Below are 22,250 nucleotides of genomic sequence, written 5' to 3'. Positions count from 1 at the left end.
GACCCATTCACTCCACATAGACAGTTGGGATTGCTGGAGCCTTTGGTGGGGGCAGACCTCTCTGCCTTCCCTTCTCTGTGGCCCCAGGAGACACAGTGGGCTCAGAGGATGGGCTGAAAGTATATAGACAGTAACTCTCATTCTTGAAGGGCTCTCAATACCAGGAATCATCCAGATAATATCAGATAAAAAGGAATCTCAAAAGCAGCAGGAAAGCATAGCTCAGTTTCCTTTAAATATTGCTTCTTGGCCATGTGCTAACTCGGGGCTGCACATGGGGCAGCAGGCAGACAGATCACAGAGTTGGCTGTTTCTTGGCATTCCTGGACATCAGGGTCCAGAAACACTGCTGGGCACCTGGAGCCAGGGACCACTGGCCTGGGGATGAGAATTCCTGAGCTGAATCCATCCTGCCTTGTACTGAGTAACCCTGGAGAAGGCCCTTTGGGGCTTCAGTTCCTCACTAAGCTACTCAGGATCAAGGGAAACCTGCAAAGAGCCAGGCTTAAAAAGCAGCAAAACCAGGGAGGCAAATGTTGCGGTTTAAGTCTAGACAAGTTAACTACCTACCAGAACAACAACAACAACAAAAGACAAAAATCCTCAGAGGAACAAAACAGATTCCAAAATATCTACAATATATTATCGACAAAGCTCAGTTTTCAGAACAACCTATGAAAATAACGAGCAAAAGATCTGAACAGACATATTAAAAAAGACAACACACAAATAGCCCAAAAGCACATGAAAAGACATTTAACATACTCAGTCATCAGAGAAATACAAATTAAAATCACAAGATTACTTTTATGCAGCCACAAAAAAATGGCTAAAATTAAAAACAATGACAATATCATGTGCTGACAAAGATGTATAGCACCTGGAACTCTCATAGATTGCTGTGGGAATGGGAAATGGTGCAGCTACTCTGGGAAAGTTGGGCAGTTTCTTACAAAATTAAGCATATGTTTACCATAGTACCTGATATGGTTTGGCTGTGTCCTCACCCAAATCTCATCTAGAATTGTAGTTCCCATAATCCCCAAGTGTCATGGGAGGGACCAGGTAGAGGTCATTGAATCATGGGGGCAGTTTCCCCCGTCCTGTTCTCATGATAGTGAATTAGTTCTCACGAGATCTGATGGTTTCATAAGGGGCTTCCCCCTTTATTGGGCACTCATTCTCTCCCCTGCTGCCCTGTGAAGAGGTGCCTTCCAACATGATTGTTAAGTTTCCTGAGGCTTCCCCAGCCATGCAGAACTGTGAGTCAATTAAGCCTCTTTCCTTTATAAATTACCCAGTCTTGGGTATTTCTTCATAGCAGTGTGAGAACAGATTAATACAGTACCCATCAATTCCACTCCTAGGTATATACCCAAGAGAAATAAAAACTTACATTCTCAGAATCTCTATAGAAATCTTAATATGGCTTTAGTAATAAAAACTGGAAGCAACCCAAATGTCCTTCAACTAGTGAATAAATTCATATATCCATACAATGGAATACTACTCATCCATAAAGAGGAACAAATTACTGATACACACAAAAACATAAGTGAATTTCAAAAGCATCGTTAAGTGAAAGAAGCCAGACCAAAAATTACATACAATATGATTCCATTTATATAAAGTTCTAGAAAAGGCAAAACAATAGCATCAGAAAGACAATACTTGCAGCCGGTCGTGGTGGCTCATGCCTGTAATCCCAGCACTTTGGGAGGCCAAGACAGGTGGATCACTAGGTGAGGAGATGGAGATCATCCTAGCTAACATGGTGAAACCCCGTCTCTACTAAAAATACAAAAAATTAGCCGGGCGTGGTGGCGGGTGCCTGTAGTCCCAGCTACTTGGGAGGCTAAGGCAGGAGAATGGCATGAACCCAGGATGCGGAGCTTGCAGTGAGCTGAGATCGTGCCACTGTACTCCAGCCTGGGTGACAGAGCAAGACTCTGTCTCAAAAAAAAAAAGAAAAGAAAGACAATACTTGCCTGGAGCTGGGATTGGGGATGGAAATTTATTGCAAAAGATGTATACATTATATATATGTGGGAACTTGGGAGGTGATGGGTATGTTCTGTTTCTTTATTTTAGTGGTGATTACACAATTGCATTCATTTGCTAAAATTCCCTGAATGATATACTTAAGAAGGATTAATTGTATTATATATAAGTTATGCCTTACAAAAGCTTCTACCAAAAATATATGCCCTTTTCCCAATCTCCTGAAGGCTTTAGAAGCCAGAACTCTTTGAACTGCAAGTGAAGGAAACTTACATTTATTGGCTTAATCAAAAAAGTCACCCATGGACTCCTGCAAGTGAAAATTCCAAATGTAGCTTGGGTATGACTGGATCCAGGGATTCAAAGAACCCACCAGGAATCTGTTCTCATTATCTCTTGTCTCTTCTTCATTTTTGAGGATTTCACTCCTAGGCAGCCTCTCCCTTCATGGTGGCAAGATGGCAGCTGGAAGCTCCTTCAAACGTTCTAGCAAAGGACCAAGGACTGATTATCGTTGAACCGTCTTAATCACAGTCACACTGTACACAGTGACACACAGTGGCCAGGGAGATGCAATATGCTGGTCGGCTAAAACAGGACGGTGTCAGCACCAAATCTCGTGTCTGTGTGGCAGGGAAAGGCATTTCCCCAAAGGAATATCATGGTGCCATGACCAGAAGAAGACAGAATTCATCTTGAGCAGGAGACAGTGGACATCCACACTGGTGTGTTCCGGTTGGGAAATGAAGAGCAATCTGAGCCTTTGTGACCACCTGCCCTATTCTAAGGATGTATCCTAAATGATCTATGGTTTGTGTGGCCCTTCCTACTGTACAGAATACCAGAAAGGTTTATCGCAGCCACAAACTACAAAGAGTTCCTATAAGGCACTTCTTAACTAATTTACAGGCAGCAAGCACAACATTCAGCAGTCTCTGACTCACTTCATTTATACAAACATTAACCTTGGAGAGCAAGCCGCTTGTGTAGTCCTTGACCCAGTTCAGCAGCCTGGGGTCACTTGATTTCCACTAACATTGAGCCTCCTCCCCTTGTGATTATGGTTTCCCCCACAGACCTGGAGGTCACGCTTACTCAGTATTGGGTAATCTCTCTCTCCCCCATGAAACAAGCCTACAGTTTATATTCTCTGAATCACACAGCCATTTGACCCATAGGAGTAATCAATTAAACAATAGGTTCTGTTCACCCAGTGTCATGGCTTGATTACTATTGTTTTCTGGAAATACAAGAATACTGCTAGATATTCAACACTTACTATATTATTTCACATTCACAGCAACGCCAAGATGTCTGCAAAGTCATCCATTCATTCAGGGTCACTTTTTTGGCCCTGCATAATCTGCCCACACCCTATACCCACTGCTCCTCTGACCTCAGCCCTACCACTCTCCCCTTCGCTCACTTTACTCTGATCCTATATGGCTTCTTGCCATCTTGCATTGACTGCGGGACAGGTGTAGAAAATGGCATAGAGATGAGTGGAATAAAGTCTGAAATACAGAGAATTGGGAGCTTATCATGAACATCTGTTTTTTGAGGTCTACTCTTTACCCATTTTCCCTTCTACTGATATCAGCACCTTCATTAGTATCTCTTGGAGGAAGCCTCCTTTTCTAGACCCTAAGTGAATGTGGTACATGGAGAGTTGGGAGCTGAACCCATCCCACAGTTCCATGGATGAAGAGCCAGACCCAGGCCACCTAATAAACCTCTTTCATCTCCCTGGACGCAGTGATTATTCCAAGTTAAAATATGAAATTTAAATCTGTGACTATACTTGCAAGTTTTTTTTAAGTTCCGGGGTACATGGGCAGGATGTGCAGGTTTGTTACATAGGTAAATGTGTGTCATGGTGGTTTGTTGCACCTATCAACCCATCACCTTAAGCCTGGCATGCATTAGGTATTTTTCCTGATGCTCTCCCTACCCACCACCCTCCTGCAACAGGGCCCAGTGTCTGTTGTTCCCCTCCATGTGTTCTCACTGTTCAACTCCCACCTATGAGTGAGAACATGCAGTGTTTGGTTTTCTGTTTCTGTGTTAGTTTGCCGAGGATAATAGCTTCCAGCTTCATCCATGTCCCTGCAAGGAACATGATCTTGTTCCTTTTTATGGCTGTATAGTATTCCATGGTGTTATATGTACACAGTTTTTTTAATCCAGTCTATCATTGATGGGCATTTGGGTTGATTCCATGTCTTTGCTATTGCAAATAGTGCTGCAGTGAACATAAGCATGCATGTATCTTTATAATAGAATGATTTATATTCCTTTGGGTATATACCCAGTAATGGGATTGCTGGATCAAATGGTATTTCTGGTTCTAACCTTTGAGAAATCACCACACTGTCTTCTACAATGGTTGAACTAATTGACATTCCCACAAACAGTGTAAAAGCTTTCCTATTTCTCCGCAACCTCGCCAGCATCTGATGTTTATAATCTTCTTAATAATCGCCATTCTAACTGGTGTGAGACAAAAACAAGCAACGGAAAAGGATTCCCTATTTAATAAATGGTGCTGGGAGAACTGGCTACCCATATGCAGAAGGTATTTAAAAAGCACTACAGTCATCCCTAGGTATCTGCATAAGATTGGCTCCAGGATCCAGAACTTGAAGGAAGCTCAAATCTCTTATATAAAATGATACAGTATTTGCATATACCTATTCATATCCTGCTGTGTAGTTTAAATAATCTCTAGACTACTTATAAGACCTAAAACGATGTAAATTTTATGTAAATAGTTGTTAGACAACATTGGTTTTTTAAATTTGTATTGTTTATTGTTGTATTGTTGTTTATGGTTGTATTATTTTTTATTGTTAAGTTTTCTAATATTTTCCATTCATGGTTGGTTGAATCCACAAATGCAGAACCTGGAGATAGGGAGGGATGACTGCATTATCATATAACTGAATTTTTAAGCTATAAGTATGATAGGGGTCACCACATTGACAGAGACTGTCTGGACTTCTGAGAAAAGTAGAGCCTAGAAATGAATAAAGACATATATGGGTCCCTGGATTCAGCTGTTTCTAAAACCCCAAGTATCCCTGGACTGTTAGACTTTCTGTTACATGCAACTGAAATAAGTGACTGAATAAGGGTCATATTCTGGGATCACCTTCCTAGATCTGAAATATGCATTTCTCATTTCCTGAGAAAGCAAACAGCATCATCAGAATGGAGGCCATCACACAGTCCAACAGCTGCCACATTGCTGACGCTCGTCTAGCACCCTGTATAATAAGATACCAAAATAATTAAAAGCCTGCTCTCCAATATACTCAAAAGAACAGAAAGCAAGGCTTCGAAGAGATATTTGAACACCCATGTTCACAGCAGTGTTATTCATAGAAGCTATAACATGGCAGCAACCCAAGTGTCCATCAACAGATGAATGAATGGATAAGCAAGATGTGGTCTACTCACATATAATGGAATAGTATTCAATCTTCAAAAGGAAGGAAATTCTGACACATGCTACATGGATGAGCCTTGAGGACAACATGCTATGCAAAGTAAGCCAGCCACAAAATAATAAATACTCTATGAATCTACCTACATGAGGAAAATCACAGAGGCAGAAAGCACCATGGTGGGTGCCTGGGACTGAAAGGAAAGAGGAATAGGGAGTTAGTGTTGAATGGGTACACAGTTTGAGTTTTGTAAGATGAAAACAGTCCTGGAGATGGATGGTAGTGATGGCTGCATAACAGTATGAATATATTTAATAACACTGAACTGTACACTTGAAAATGGTGACGATAGTAAGTTTTGTGATATTTTACCACAGTAAAAACTTCAGGAAAAAACAAATCTACCATCTAAAGACATTATTTTCCTCCAACAATCCTGACCTCTACCCTAGCAGACTCTTGAAGAAAGACATTGTTGAGCAGCAACATGGACGCAAGCTGTTTTCTCTCTGGGTTAGAGGTACGCATTAATGTACAGGTCAAAGAGCAAATCAAATTCATGCTAACTTTTCTAACTCATACATGATTTTATGCTTCCCAGAGTGGCTTTGCACCACCTTTGGTGAGGTCCACTTTGAGGAAGCAGGTGTTCACTTCTTTTTTTTTTTTTTTTTTTTTTTTTTTGAGACGGGGGTTTTGCTCTGTCGCCCAGGCTGAAGTGTAGTGGTGCGATCTCAGCTCACTGCAAGCTCCGCCTACCGGGTTCACGCCATTCTCCTGCCTCAGCCTCCCAAGTAGCTGGGACTACAGGTGCCCGCCACCACGCCCGGCTAATTTTTTATATATTTTTTTTTAGTAGAGACGGGGTTTCACCGTGTTAGCCAGGATGGTCTCGATCTCCTGACCTCGTGATCCATCAGCCTCGGCCTCCCAAAGTGCTGGGATTACAGGCGTGAAGGCGTTCACTTCTTTAAAACACCAGGTCTCGGTGGACTCACAGGGTTGCATCTGTCTATGTCTCCTCCCTTGATTTGAGGAAGTCATTTAGGCAGGATAGCACTATGGAAGCTGAGGAATGCTGAACACTCTCACCTTTTAGGGTGAGATTTATAAAGCACTTTGGCATATTAAAGGCTCTTAAGAAGTCCTGTGGTAATGAAATCTACCTACCTTTATTTAATTAAATTTCTTCCATATTTATTTGACACTCCAACCTCTCACTTTTCAAGGCCCATGCAGTCACATCCTGTGTGCCAAGAAATACATGAGAGAGAAGGCTGTTTTAGTGAACATCTGTCCAGTGATGCAAAACCCCAAGAGGCTGTATCAGAAGAGACAGTGTCAGGACAGACAGAATCAGGGGTGCCAGGGTCAAGCCCTAGCTCCCGCATAAGAGGCTGCCTGGCTCCTTCTGAAACTCAAGTTTCCTGCTCAATAACAAATATTTGTTGAGGACTCTCTATATGTGTCAGCTGCTGTTCCAGGTGCGAAAGATATAGCAAAATGTGTCGTGACAATGATTATTATGAAGAAAAACAAAGCAAGAAAACTGAAGCAGCATAAAAGGAGTTGGTCGTTCTCTCCAGGGTGATCAGGGAAGGCCGCTCTTACCAGGTGATATTTGAGCAGAAACCAGATTGAACTGAAAGCATGAGTCTTGTAGACATCTGGAGGAAGAGAAGGCCAGGCAGAGGGAACAGGAAGTACAAAGGCCCTAAAGCAAGACCATGTATGGCACATCTGAGAAACAGCAACAAGGCCAATATGGCTGGAGGGGAGATACCAAGGAAACAGAGAGTGATTAGGAGGTGAAGTCAGAAAGGTGGCCAGGGGCCAGATCTGGTGAGCTCTACTAGGTCATGATAAGGATTTCAGACGTTTTTCTAAGTGAGAGAAGATGACAGTGGAACAATGGATCAGAGGTCAGACATGATAGGTCTGGCTGCTGCGTGGAGAGCAGACTGTAATGAGCCAGGGTAGAACTAGGAGAGATTACACCACAAACCAGGCAAGAGATGCTGGTGGACTTGAGTAGTCACTGTAGAGGTCCTGAAAAGTCTGGATTAGGGACTGGATAGCCACAGTGGCTATAACAGTATCAGATAAAGTAGATTCTATAGCACATAATATTACCATGGACAAAGAAGTTAGTCTCATAGTGATAGAAGGTTCAATTAATCAATGTAATATAACCATCTTAAATTTTATATATCTAATAACAGAGCTTCAAAATGGATAGAGCAAAATCTGATAGAACTACAACAAAAAACAGACAAATCTCCAACAATAGTAGGATATGTCAAAACCCCCTCTCAATAATTGATATCAAAAAGTGGGAAAAGAATCAGCAAGGACTTAGCAGACTTGAACAAAACAATCAACCACCTTGACCAACTGACATTTATAGAATAATCCACTCAACAACAGCAGAATACATTTCTCAGTGTGCACAGAGCATTTATCAAGAGAAATTATCTCTACACCATAAAGCTAGTCTTAATAAATATAAAAGGAATTAAGTCATATAAAGTATGTTATCAGCCACAGTGGGATAAAAGTTAGAAATCAGTAATAGAAAGATATCTGGAAAATGCCCCCAAACATTGGAAAATCTGTAACACATTTCTAAAACCTATGGACCAAAGAAAAAAATCAAAAGCAAAATTAGAGAATATTGTGAACTGAATGAAAAATGAAAATACAACTTATGAGAACTTAGGGGAAAATTTATAGCACTAAATGTCTATAGGGGAGAAAAGAAAGGTCTACATCAGTGACTGCTTTCACCTTAATATATTAAAAAAGAGAAAATTAAAACCAAAGTAAGCAGACAAAAAGAAATCACAAATATGACAGCAAAAGCCAATGAAATATGAAAATATAATGCAAAATCTATGAAATCAAAAGTTGATTATTTGAGATCATTATTAAAATTGATAAAACTCTAGCCAGACTGATCAGGAACAAAAGAAAGAAGACAAAGAATCAATGCCAGAATAAGAAGGGTGACATCACTAGAGAGTCTAGACATATCAAAAGCATAATAGGGGAATATTATGAATGACTGCATGTCAAAGTTCACTCAAAATGACAGCCAACCATTCATCAAAGAATTGTGAAGATGAACAAGGGCCTGCCCTCACGGAGCTTACATTCCCAGGAAGAGAGAGCTAATAAGTTGCCAAACACATGTGTAACCAGAGGATTTTGGAGAGTGCTCATTCTGCGAAGGAAAGAAACCAGATGGGTGTCACAACGGGTCACTGAGAGACAGCACCATTACCTCATCGAGGGGAACACATCTGACCTAAGACCTGGGCGGGGAGAAGATGGAGCTGCTCTTGGGGTCAGAGAGAGCCTGTCAGAGAGAAGGACGTGTTCCAAGGCCTTGCAGTGAGAACAAGATTGGCCCATTCCAGAAAAGAAAGGAGGCCAGCATGGCCAGAAAGTATAGGAAAGGGATGAGAAGTGAGGGAAGAGGGTGGGCAAGAGAAGGCACACAGACCTCTTTCGGCCACTTAAGAATGTGTGTGTCATGGCGTCATTCACAATGCAATGGGAAGCCAACAGAGATTTTCATCAGGGGACTCATACAATCTGTTTAATGAATTAAATAGAGGGCCTGGCTGTGGTGTGGAGAATAGATGACAATGACACGGGAGTGGAACAGGGAGACCAGGCAGGAGGCCAGGACAGGCGGTCTGGCAGGAGATGGTGGTGGCTGGGCTCGGGTGCTGGCAGTGGAGACGGAGTGAATGGTTGAACTCTGGGTATATTTTGGAGATTACAGATCCTAGGACTTGCTGATGGGCTGAATATGATGCTTGAAAATGGAGAGGCATCCGGGGTAACTCCTCTATTTTTATTCCGAGCAGCAGGGTGATGATGGTGCCATTTGCTGATACAGGAAAGACTGGCGGAAGATTCTGTCAACACAAAGAATGGGACTTGAAGAACCTCCTGAACCCTGGAATTACCAAAATCTTAGTAAACCCTTTACAAATCAGGTTTTCAAAAACGAATGCCTCTGGCAGAGTTAATTAACAGGAATTCCACTGAATAAGAGGCTTGTTCTCAGAGTTACAAATGATGCCCTTTGAACTTGGACTCACATCAGAATCATTAAGCATTCAGCCCACGGATGAGGAATAGAAAGTTTCATTGATTGGCAACAGAACAAGAATGAATTCCTGCTGAAAATGCAAGTGGTCCCTGGCCAAGTGACTGTCTAACAGCTGATCACTTGAGATGTGCTTGCTAGAGTGCCACTGAGGAAGGTCTGTGTGTCTTGTGTGAGATGTGACAGCCAACAGCACTATCCCTAAAATTGGTGATGGCCGCCCAACAGAGACCAGAGTTATCTGCACCCTAACCCTGACCCTAATTCTTCACACAGTTGTTCCTCACCACAGAAAGCTGAGACTTGGGAGATGTGAATTCTTAGGTCAGTTCAGCCCTGCCTAGCTGGATATCATAAATAAACTCTCTCCAAACCAGGGTAAGAACAATATAAATAACCTGGGAAGAGTCACCCCATACCTCAGTTTCCCTGAGAGTGTGACCTTAATTAGATGATCGACAATGTTTCCATCCAAATCAGATGCACTCTGTGAGCTTTCAGCTGCCGAAGCACAGCGGATGGAGACTTGAGATGGGGATGGCAATGCTGACGCCAATAGGAGCCGAGCGTGCATGTGGGGGAAGCAGGCCTGGCTGGGGATGGGCACAGTGTGGAGATCTGCAGAGTTTCGGGGTGGTGGATGAGTGTGTGGACTCTGGAGTCAAGTGGCCTCTGGGGAGGTGCTGTTATCCCCATGTTGCAAGTGGGGACACTGAGGCTCAGAGACATCCAGGGACTTGCCCCAGGTCCCACAGCCAATAAGTGGCAAAGCAGATATTTGAAGCCAGGTTGGCCTGGCTCTAGGACCCAATGTTCCTAACTCTGTGCTTTAGAGGAGCTTTGCCATCTGTGGTCCCTGATATGCCACCTCCTAGATTTCCCTGCTCAGCCTGGCCAAGACAAGAACAGGACCTGACGTCCCCATCCAGGAAGAAGCTGACTCAGCTTCTACCTCTGCTCCCTTCTGCCTTTGTCATGTGGAAACAGCCAGGGATGGCATCAATCAATATCTCTCGAACACACGTCCTCCTTCCTCTCCCAGTGATGCCCCTCACTGCAGCCATTGTCAAGAATGGATGTCCGCCCCAGGTGACTTAGAAGGCCACAGACCAACAACAAGGCAGCCAAAGTTCCCAGGAAGGCCCCAGGAACAGTAGAAGTAGCCAGAAGAGGTGCCAGCAGGTGGCTTTAATGAGTCTTTCTGCTGTCTGGAGTCTTCGAAAGCATTTGTGTTTTGTGTGTTGGTTCGTTTTGCTTTTGGAAATTTATCCTATTGCAGTGTTTTATGGGAAATGTTTTTAATGCTTAAACAGTTTTTGAAAGGCAATACCCTTGAACAACATGGGTTTGGACTGTGCAGTTCCACTTATACATGGATTTGTGGGATGCAAAGCCCGTGTATGAGGAAGGCCGACTCTTTGTATATGTGGGTTCCCCAGGGTCTACTTTGGGACTTGAGTGTGCACAGATTTTGGTATCATGGTGGTGTCCTGGGATCAATCCCTCAAGGATACCAGGGACAGCTGGACATATATCCCATTAATTAGATAATCAACAATGTTTCCATCCAAATCAGATACACTCTGATTTTTTTTAAAAAATCCCAAAAAGAGTAAAAAAAGATCTCAAAAAGAGTAAACAGTAAGGCTCGTATTGATAATATCATATCTCTTAGCTTGGTTTTAAAGGTATGGCATGCATATTTATTTACTGGTATTTTTTTTTCAGGATAATCTCCCCAGATTCACATCCTTAACCTAATGACAGCTGCAAAGCCCTATTTGCCATGTGAGGAAACATATCCACAGGTTCTAGGAATTCACATGTGGGCATCTTTGGAGGGCCACTATTCTCCCTACCACAATGGATATAAGGTTTTGCCCACAGCGTGATTTGGTTATTTTCAAATGATCCATCTGGTAAAGAAGGTGTCTTTAGATAATGATGAATAAACAACATCCACTGAATATCTACCATGTGCCAGGCAATGTTTTAAGCACTTACTTATATTAACTTGTTTAATCCTCACAACCAGTGTGTGAGGTGGGCACCATCATTGACTCCATATTACAGATGAGATGCACCTGAATTGAGTGGATGGTGCAGTGTTGGCGAGTGAGTTCATGGAAGTGCTGGATTTGAGTCCTAGCTATCTGCCAGCAGACTCTGTGGCCCCCCAGGAGGTTTATGGTACAAAAAACCGAATGATCACCCCTGGAGCCAACAGAATCTGCCAGCCAGTGCTGCTTCCTACTGAAGCTTCCTGATGCTTTACATTTGGGAAATTCAGATGGATGGCATCGTCCCTGGGAGATGGCGCCTCTTAAGGACAGCAGCCTCTGTTTAACTCTGACATGCAACCAACTCTGTGCAGCAGTCTGTCACCACCTTGCAAGGAAACTATGTGCGGATTCAGCCACACCTTGCAGAGCAAAGACCTGACACCCTGTCCTTCATTCTTAAAGGTCAGAGGAACAGCAAGGTTGGGGCCAGCTGATACATGGCATGTGGAAAACAGGGGCAGCTCCACCATGCCCAGATGCAACCCACCTCCCTGCAGAAGCAATCCTGGCTTGTTGTGGCTGCTTTTCATGGGGGAATTCTTAACAGCCCACAAGACACAGTCACAGAAGTCTGATGTGGTTGTAAAATCACAGAGTAGAGGCATAGTCCCCCAAGGAAAGTAGACTGTGTTCAGCCGCCTTTGGTTTCTTGCTGCCTGGACAGGTAGAAATTTACTCTATCTGCAAGCTCCCCTCTCCTGCAAAGAGTGTGGGACCTTACAACCATCACCTGTGCAAAGTGGACATTTTCCAGAATCAAAGGTGGTTCTGGAGAAAATGCAAAGGTGGGCAAGTCTGCCCCAACCCCTCTCTTGGTCTTTTCTAAATACTCTCTTGCCTTGTCTGTCTCAGAAAAGAATCCAGCAGCTTCTTCAGCTGAGTCTAATTATAGAAAGACACAATACCTTCATCCCAGGAGTTCAGCTTGGTCTTTAATCGTGGCAGAGAATCTTTCCTCCTTCATTAAAAAAATTTCACAAAAAAGTAGGAGAATTGTGTTCCTGGCAAAAAAGCTTTCCTGAAATCCCCGATGGCAAGAACTGAGCCTCCTTCATCAGGTGCTGGCACACAGGCCCTTGGTCAAGGTATGGGAGGAATGACTGGCAAACAACCCTTTAAATCTCAGCAGCATTTCACAGGTTACCAAGCCCTGTGGGACTCCCAGTTAAACACAGTGGGCTGGAAACTTGATTCATCTTTTCCCCCGCTCAGGATCTCATTAAAGTGAGACTAACAGAATGAAAAAGTCAAAAATTCTCAACACAAAGGGGCCATCAGTGACAAAAGAGATCAGTCTTTTCTGGAACAATGGCGGTAACTGATGAAGTGAGTAGGGATGCCTGTTATAGAATATGAACAACAAATTAATATTAAGTAGAAGCATTGGATTCTACGAGCAAATATAAATGTGATAAAACTTGGTGTAAATACATCTATTAGATATATAGGTTATAAACAATTAATAAATACCTAGGCAGAAGTCTCATGGTGCTGTTTATTCATCTGTCAGGGAAGAGAATTAATCAATAGCAGCGCTGTCCAACAGATCTTTCCTCACTGCTAGAAGATTCTATATCTGTGCTGCCAGATGTGGTAACCACTAGCTCCATGTGGACACTGAGCACTTGAAATGTGGCATGTGCAATTGAGAAACTGAATTTTTAATTTTATTTAATATTAATTTTAATAGCCACATGAAGCTAATGGCTACCATATTGGATAGCTTCAGGTTCTAAACTAAAATTAAATTGTGGCATCTGAAAGAGCGGATGTAACTATAATGGTAGTAGTGATGGTAGTAATAGTAATAATAAAAATAAAGTGGATGTAACTGTAATGGTAGTAGTGATGGTAGTAATAGTAATAATAAAAATAATGACTCTAATCACTGACTTGTTTTTACCATAAACCTTTTCCCTTTAATCATAGTAAGATGATTTTTGTTTACTGTTTTGTTGTTGCTATTGTTGTCTGGGTTTGGTTTGGTTTTGGTTGTGGGGTGGAAAATCTGAGACAGGTTCTTGCTTTGTCACCCAAGCTGGAGTGCAATGGCATGATAATGGCTCACTGCAGCCTCGACCTCCTGGGTGCAAGCAATCCTCCCACCTCAGCCTCTCGAGTAGCTGGGATTACAGGCATGTGTCACCATGTATGGCCAATTTTTAAATGTTTGTAGAGATAGGAGTCTCACTATGTTTCCCAGGCTGGTCTCAAATTCCTGCGCTCAAGCAGTCCTCCTGCCTCAGCCTCCCAAAGTGTTAGGATTACAGGCGTGAGCCACTGTGCCCAGCCAGCAAGGTGATTTTTAAAAAACCAGTATTCCTTGTAGTGATTAATGGTTTTTTGAAGTTCAGAAACTTCATATTAGATTATTTGTCTTCTCTTAAATGTAAGTAAAAGGAAGGACCTAGCCCTTAATAAAGAAAAAACCCAGCACACAGAATATGCTCCCATTTTCGTGAAGTATGAAGTTCGCCGGCCACTTGCGTGTCCAGCCACAGTCATCTCTCTGCCCATACGTGGACTTTGACTCCATACATGGAACAATAATTTTCCAGTATTACTGCTGGCTCTATCGGGGGTGCTGAGATTCTGATTTTTCCATATATTGTTTAAAAATGTTATAATGAGCATGCATCATCTTAAATAAAAATAATAAAGCCTATTAAGATTTTGGCTGAAGCAGGTTGTCAGGTGCCAGGGGTCACGGGCTGCGCTGAGCGCTGGCTCGGGCTGCAGGAAGGAGCCTTTATTTGCTCACACTCAGGGAAATCGGGAATCCCTGGAAATCGCAGGGCCTGAGGACGCAGCCAGTCAGGCCGGGCAGGGGCTCCAGGAGCCTCCGCCGGGGAGGGGAGGGCGCGCGGCCTGTACAAGCCGGTCTGCGGCGCCATCTAGCGGGTGCGCCAGGACCATCGCCCACGAGGTCCTTCCCCGGAGGAGAGGCGGATGCCAATCAAAATGCCATCGCGACCCCTTGTCAAAGTAAAGCCATTTAGAGAAAGACTTGCTGGGCTCTGCAATCAGCTATGCAAAGGGAAAACAAGCGTTTAGGAACATTCCCTCGCTGTTTGTCTCAGGCGGGGCTGATGTGCAGCTGGAGGGCCCTGGGAAGGGGAGAGGCTGTAATAATTATTTACAAGGTGCATCTATTCCGATTGGCCAGTGGCCACACCACCCTGCTATTAAATATGTTGAATTTCATCACTATCTTAAGTATTTCACCTTCAAACAAAAATAAGAAACAAACTCTTAACATTTATCATACATGTATTATGTGACAAGCAGTGTGCAAATACTGCTTCACTTCATCCTCATGATAACAAGGTTATTCTGGCTTCTGGTAGGAATTATATTACACTTTTTACAGGATAGGTAAGGGGGACTGTGTTGAAGGTCACACAGCTTTAAGCCAGGCTGGAATTGAACGACAGCAGCTTGATTTTCTTAAGCACATGCATCTCACATCTCCCCAGCTGTGGAGAAGGGGCCCTTTCCTGATCAGTACAGAGGCTGGCAAAGTGACTCGCTAGCAAGAACTCTGGTTTACCAAACATAAATATCAGGCTTGCAGCGGGCAACCCAACATCAAAGTGCTCAGAGACAGCCTGCATATTCACAACCCCCAAACTGTGATACATAATCTAGTTCGCTGTCAACAGTGACTTGTTTTTTTAAAAGAAAATTATTGTCTCAGAACACAGGTTCCTAAGGCCGGGTGTGGTGGTTCACGCCTGTAATCCCAGCACTTTGGGAGGCCGAGGGGGGCAGATCACCTGAGGTCAGGAGTTCAAGACCAGCCTGGCCAACATGGTGAAACCCCGTCTCTACTAAAAATACAAAAATTAGCTGGGCATGGTGGCGCACACCTATAATCCCAGCTACTCAAGAGGCTGGGGCAGAAGAATTGCTTGAATTCAGGAGGCGGAGGTTGTGGTGAGCCAAGATCGCACCACTGCACTCCAGCCTGGGCAACAGAGTGAGACTCTGTCTCGAAAAAAAAAAAAATACAGCTTCCTGATTATTTTACTACCTTTAAGGGGTTGTAAAATAGGACCATAAAATCCCTTGCATAATCACTCTCAATTTGGGGATTTGGGGCTCACCCAACAAGCAGGACAATTCCAGGGCAGTATTTTCTGACGGATGTGCTGCATGACAGCCATCCTTGTGAGACAGGTCATAGATATTAATGATATTGACAGAGTCTTTAAAAATTTGTCATGTCTCATCCCTGCCGCTGAAGCCCCTGGAATTCCACTACTTTGTTGCTCTGACTGACAACCACCCATTTCTTTCCCGAACTTGCTTAGCTGGGTCTATTTTTCCCTTTCGCCTTCAGAAATTATACATCAGCAAAGGTTTTCCCAAATAGAGGCAGGTCAACTGAACCAAACATCTTAATGGGCTTTTCCCTTCCTTTCCACTGAGCTGACTCCAGTTCACTCTCCAAGAGCAGTCCCTGTAATATTGTTATGTTTTTAATGTAAGTTAGGAAACGGCATAACAGCTAAATCCAGTTATGGGGCCACTGTGGCAAGGGGTTTACTAAATGGCCTCCCTGGCACTATGTGCTGGAATAACAGTGTGGGTAGTTGGCTTGCAGCGCCAGGAGAGCCACAAGTAGGGTGCCCACTCTGCACCAAGTGCTACGGCGGCATTTACAAAGCACATGGCTTTCAGCTCAGCCGACAAAGACGGTTACTTGTGGCCATTTGTAAAGTGCACCCAGTGGACAGGCATTCTCCTTGACAATTTAAAATTAGTCCTTTCAGCTGTGAGAGGGTAGGATCAATCAGGTGAAATGGTGCGTATATAACTGAGGTTATGGCTGTTTGCAGAACACCTTGCTCATTCTGTTATATTAGAGAACCTAAGAGACAGAAACCTTCAGTCTATTCTAGATACCAACTGCCAAATGTTTTGTGTCTTCCTCAACGGTAATTATACTGACAAACTTGTAGTTTTGTGGGAAGGGGGAGAAACACAGACCTTCCAGGTAGGCTATGACATCAGGGTGACACAAAAATAATTCTCAGGCCAGGCACAGTGGCTCGCTCCTGTAATCCCAGCACTTTGGAAGGCCAAAGTGTGAGAATCACTCGAGCCCAGGAGTTAGAGAACAGCCTGGGCAACATAGTGAGACTTTGTCTCTACAAAAAAATAAATAAAAATCAGCCGGGTGTTGTGGCATATGCCAGTAGCCCCAGCTCCTCAGGAACCTGAAGTGGGAAGATCACTTGAGCCTTGGAGGTTAAGGCTGCAGTGAGCTATGAACATACTGCTGCACTCCAGCCTGAGTGGCAGAGCAAGACTCTGTCTCAAAAACAAAAACAAAAACAAAACAAAAAGAAAAGAAAAAGAAAAAATAAAATAACATTCAAAGACAGTAAAAGTTCTGTCCTGTCCTGATTAGCAGAGTCCAGTCAACACGACTGAGTGTGAGTATTGTGTAGCTGAGTGAATGGCTGGAGATTTAGCAGCCTGGCAGAGTCATCATCTGGAACTCCAGTTCTCACTGCACACGCGAAGGTGCAGTGACTGGGCTGCCCCGGATCTAAGTGGTTAATGGCACTCATGTAGCCCCCCGCCTGCCTCTTATACCTATAGTGAGCTAGTGTCCCCCTAAAATTCATGTTCACTGACAACCTCAGGATGTGACCTCATTTGGAAATAGAATTTTTGCACATCATTAGTTTAAATGAGGTCATACTGGATTAGGGTGAGCCCTCAATGCAAGGACTGGTGTCCTTATAAGGGGAGGACACAGAGACACAGACACACACACACAGCTTATGTGATGACAAAGGGAGAGATGAGGGCAAGGTGGCCACAGGCTAAGGAACGCCTGGAGCCAGCGGAAGCTGGAAGAGGCAGGGAAGACTCCTTCCCTGGAGGCGTCAGAGGGAGCACCTCCCTGCTAACACCTTGATTTCAGACTTCTGGCCTCCAGAGCTGTGAGAAAATAAATTCCTATTGTTTTAAGCCACCTAGTTTGGGGTAATTTGTTACTGCAGCCCTAGAAAACTAATATAGCACCCAAAACAGACATTGTTTACTGATTGGCATCATTTTTCCTGCCTAACATAGCGCTGCAGCAGACGACCATTTGGCACATGATGTAAAACCCACTTCCCACCCCCAAACCAGATGGAGCTTTACAGGATGCATCCTAGTTGGGGGTCGGGGAGTGGAGGAGAGACAGAGAGAAAGAGAGAGAGAGAGGAGAAAAGAAAAGAAATGGAAGCAACCTAAATATTCGTCAATAGGGAAATGGTTTAAAAAAAAAAAAACTATGGAATAACCTACTGCAGAATATAACAGTTTTTAGATAATAATTAAGCTCTATTCATATTAGCACAAAAGGGCTCCAAAGCATGTTGTTGACTGTAAAGAATATTACACTCAACATAATGCCATTTGTTTTAAAATGCAACCACACATAAAGCCGTACCAAGGATTTTCTGCAGCCCCACATACATTTGTTTGGTTTTGTTACAGACAGGGTCTCGCTCTGCGGCCCAGGCTGGAGTGTGGTGGCACAATCACAGCTCACTGCAGCCTTGAACTCCTGCGGCCCCATATATATATGAGAATGTAGATACATAGAAAGATAACGTTCTGGCTAAAAGAAATAAAATGATACACAATCATTCATTTGGGTGAGGCAGCAGGAATTAGTGAGCAGCCAACGGGCACTTATCTGTGATGTTTTAGGAAGATGTATTCAAGCACTGTTTAGATTTTAAAGTTTTACACAAAACAAAAGACGAAAGACAAGACATAGACTGCTCCAGAAGCCTTCAAACCTTTCTAAAATGCCCTCCTACTTATGGCTTCCCAAAGCTGGGACAGACCCCAAGGGCCCATGTGGCACCTGCTGGCCCTTCCTTGGGGTAAAGCACCCCTACTCAGCACTGGAGACTCCACAGACAGAGGCTACCCCCGTCTGAATCCCAGCGACCAGCAAAGTGAGTGAGCACAGGACACACAGAGGTGGGAAGGCAGAGAAAGGCTCTCTTGACAGGAAGGAGAGCTTTGCAAGAGTCAAGTCCCTGTTGGCCTTTGGGGCCACCAGGCAGAATCATTCAAAGAAAATAAAAGGCCTCCTGGGTACTTAATAAGTTTCAGGCCGGGCACAGTGGCTCATGCCTGCAATCCTAACAATTTTGGAGGCTAAAGTGGAAGGATTGCTTGAGCCCAGGAGTTTGAGACCAGCCTGAGCAACATGGTGAGACCTCATCTCTACAAAAAATTAAAAAGTAAAAAGTAAAAACTTAACCAGGCATGGTGGCATGCCTGTGGTCCCAGCTACTTGGGAGGCTAAGGCAGGAGGATCACTTGAGCCTGGGAGACTGAGGCTGCAGTGAGCTGTGATTGTGCCACTGCACTCCAAAATGGGCAACAGAGTGAGGCTTTATCTCAAAAGAAGAAGGAAGAGGAAGGAGGAGAAGGAAGAAGAAACAAGGAGGAAAAAGGAAGAAGGAGGAGGGAGGAAGAAGGAGGGGGAAGAAAGGAGAAGAAGGAAGGAGAAAGGAGGAGGGGGAGGAAGAAAGAAAGAGGGGGGAAGAAAGGAGCAATAATAACAGAAATAAAGTACACAATTAATGTAACACACCTGAATCATCCTGAAACCATCCCCTCATCCTGGTCCATGGAAAAATTGTTTTCCATGAAACCAATCCCTGGTGCCAAAAATGGTTGGAGACTGCTGATATATAGCACATATAACATGCAAAACATGTGTTGATTAACTATGTTGTCAGTAAGGCTTCTAGTCAACAGTAGTCTATTAGTAGTTAAGTTTTCAGTCAGTCAAAAGTTATACTGAGATTTTTGACTGTAGAGGGGTCAGTGCCCCTAATGCCTGCATTGTTCAAAGGTCAACTGTTTATGTTTCTTGCATTCATCAGTCCCCTCCCCTAGCATGACAGCATGAGAGTTGAGGCCTTGTCTGCCTAATTCATCGCCATTCACCAGAACAGTGCTCGGCACAGAAGAGGCATACAAACGCTGTCTGGAATAAAGAAGTATTTGTGTCCAGGCCTTGTTGTAAGGTTTCAGGCCAATACGACTAAAAAGGAATCTGATGATCTCTCATTGTAGCCTGTGCTGAGCCCATGTGCCCAGTTGCCTAGAAACTCACAAGTGTGCTCATTTTTTTATTCCAATCTTTTTGAAAGATAATGTGGTTTTTATCTGCATGTGCAGAGCCAGGCTTTTTAGTTTTAAGAACAGTCGTTGAAGGGTGGACTGCAGCCCTCAACACCAAGCCACCCACGGAAATAAAGCTCTAAGCTCAAAGCTCAGTAATTGGGCAGAAAACCTAAAGAAGGGACACCATTGAAGGAAAAAGGCAAATTTGTGCCTTCAGAGGAAAAAAAAAAAGAAATAGACACATTTGTTAGCATTTCTTAGCCACGGAGAGGGGGCAAAAAGACGATACAGATGTAGAAGATAATGCAGAAAGCACCACTGTCACCCTGGGTGGCAGCATCCCTCTCCTTAGACCACCCTTTTCAAGAAGCGGTTTTTGAAGCTTTTGACCATCTGTGCTGCTCTGCTAGAAATGGAAATCTTAGACATAAATGGTTTCCAAGGCCTAATAGTTTCAACTTCAAAACTTTCATCCATTCCATTTTCTCTCTTTTCATTCACTAAAAAATTATGAATCCAGCACATAGTGATGCTAAGTAAATGTTTGCTATTCACCGTTTGGGTGGCTGGGTTGGATGGGTGGATGGAAAAGTAGATGCGTAGATGGAAGGTGGATTGGTGGATGGAAGGGTGAATGGGTGGATGGAAGGGTGGATGGGTGGATGGAAGGGTGGCTGGGTGGTTGGAAGGGTGAATGGGTAAATGGAAGGGTAAATGGGTGGATGGGTGGATGGAAGGGTGGATGGGTAGATGGAAGGGTGGATGGGTGGATAGAAGGGTAAACGGGTGGATGGAAGGGTGGATGGGTGGATGGAAGGGTGGATGGGTGGTTGGAAGGGTGGATGGGTGCATGGAAAGGTAAATGGGTGGATGGGTGGTTGGAAGGGTGGATGGGTGGATGGAAGGGTGGATGGGTGGATGGAAGGGTAAATAGGTGGATGGAAGGGTGAATGGGTGGATGGAAGGCTGGATGGGTGGATGGGTGGATGGAAGAGTGGAGGGTGGATGGAAGGGTGGATGGGTGGATGGAAGGGTGGATGGGTGGATGGGTGGATGGAAGAGTGGAGGGTGGATGGAAGGGTGGATGGGTGGATAGAAGGGTAAACGGGTGGATGGAAGGGTGGATGGGTGGATGGAAGGGTGGATGGGTGGATGGATGGATGGAAGGGTGGATGGGTGGATGGATGGATGGAAGGGTGGATGGGTGGATGGGTGGATGGGTGGATAGAAGGGTAAATGGGTGGATGGAAGTGTGGATGGGTGGATGGAAGGGTGGATGGGTGGATGGGTGGATAGAAGGGTAAATGGGTGGATGGAAGGGTGGATGGGTGGATGGAAGGGTGGATGGGTGGATGGAAGGGTAAATGATTGGATAGAAGGGTGGATGGGTGGTTGGAAGGGTAAATGGGTGGATAGAAGGGTGGTGGATGGGTGGATGGAAGGGTAAATGGGTGGATGGAAGGGTGGATGGGTAGATGGAAGGGTAGATGGGTGGTTGGATGGGTGGATGGCTGGATGAATGGAAGGAAGGAAGAATGAATGAGTGAGCACCTCCCCACAGCCGCCTCCCTCTGCCAGCCTGCCTGCTTGGCTACTACCTCAGCCCCCACCCTGGTGTCCATGACTGGGTCTCTCCCACTTCCTATCAGGCATTCTCCCAAAAGCTGTGTGTTTATCTTCATGAAGTAGAGGCTGACTTGCTACCCAAAATGTCAACAGCAACCAACACAATCCAGGATCACACACCTGTGGCAGCAAAGTCCTAAATCATAAGTCTGGGGTTGAATCCCAGGACAGCAGCACCTTCTCAGAGGGCACCAGGGGCACTGCGTGGGCAATTCCATGAGTGCAGATGCTTCAACTGCCCAGTCCATGGCTGTCACAGGTAAGATTACAAGGCCAGACCCTCATTCCCCCAGCATCTGTGTATGCCACCCAGTTTTAACCAATGGGAAGGAAGGTGCCACGGCCAACTGGGGCCTGTAGGAATAAGTCTCCTCTCCAGGGAGAAATGAGGGATGGCACAGTGGATGGCATCCCTGCCCCTTCCTTCCTGATAGTGACAACCCCTGTGCGAGGAGCCCAGCAGGCCTAGGAAGGTGATGGGAGGCTAAGAAGAGCCTTCAGTTGAAACCCTCCAAGCTGCAGCTAAGAGCTAGCCAGAGGGGATTTACAGTGGGCAGTTTTACTGTGTCACAAGGCAGGAGGCCCAGAGGAGGGAGGCTGGTAACGGGGTAGCTGGGCAGCCTGTGACACTGGCGAGGACACAGCCTCCCACCCTGTCTCTGCTCTGCCATCCCAGAGTGTGTGCAGCTCCTCTCACAGTGACACCTCCCACTCCTTACACAGTCACGCTCAGGGACAGAAAGCAGGAATAGCCCTGTGCTTCAATCCTTTTTAACGACAAGTTATTATTTCTCCAGACCCCTCACCCAACTAGGCAACTTCCCCCAGGGTGCAATA

General features: G+C 44.6%; 1 protein-coding gene across 10 annotated transcripts in view, besides 1 other annotated feature; it reads right to left on the bottom strand.

Annotated features, from left to right (window-relative positions):
* The window catches only part of TMEM132B (transmembrane protein 132B), a 475,992-nt gene that overhangs the window by 114,221 nt on the left and 339,521 nt on the right, over nucleotides 1–22,250 (bottom strand). The window contains exon 5 of one of the 10 annotated variants that reach the window (XM_047428245.1): nucleotides 6,618–9,373. The exons of the other annotated variants lie outside the window; for them this stretch is intronic. Within the exon in view, the coding sequence (XP_047284201.1) occupies nucleotides 8,993–9,373 (381 nt within the window). The 3' untranslated portion in view covers nucleotides 6,618–8,992. Of the gene's footprint in view, nucleotides 1–6,617; nucleotides 9,374–22,250 lie in introns of those variants that run through there. 10 annotated transcript variants of the gene reach the window in all.
* Nucleotides 8,910–10,109: an enhancer, noted in NCBI's record as "BRD4-independent group 4 enhancer chr12:126022594-126023793 (GRCh37/hg19 assembly coordinates)". NCBI's record gives its function as "activates an origin of replication core promoter dependent on BRD2, P300/CBP, MED14 and CDK7 cofactors, and independent of BRD4, by STARR-seq in HCT116 cells {active_cell/tissue: HCT116}" and the evidence as "EXISTENCE:reporter gene assay evidence [ECO:0000049][PMID:35650434]".

This window comes from Homo sapiens, chromosome 12 (genome assembly GCF_000001405.40).
Source record: "Homo sapiens chromosome 12, GRCh38.p14 Primary Assembly".
Taxonomy (NCBI): domain Eukaryota; kingdom Metazoa; phylum Chordata; class Mammalia; order Primates; family Hominidae; genus Homo; species Homo sapiens.
The sequence above is the reverse complement of the archived record's forward strand: the minus strand, read 5'-3'. Positions and strand labels throughout refer to the sequence as shown.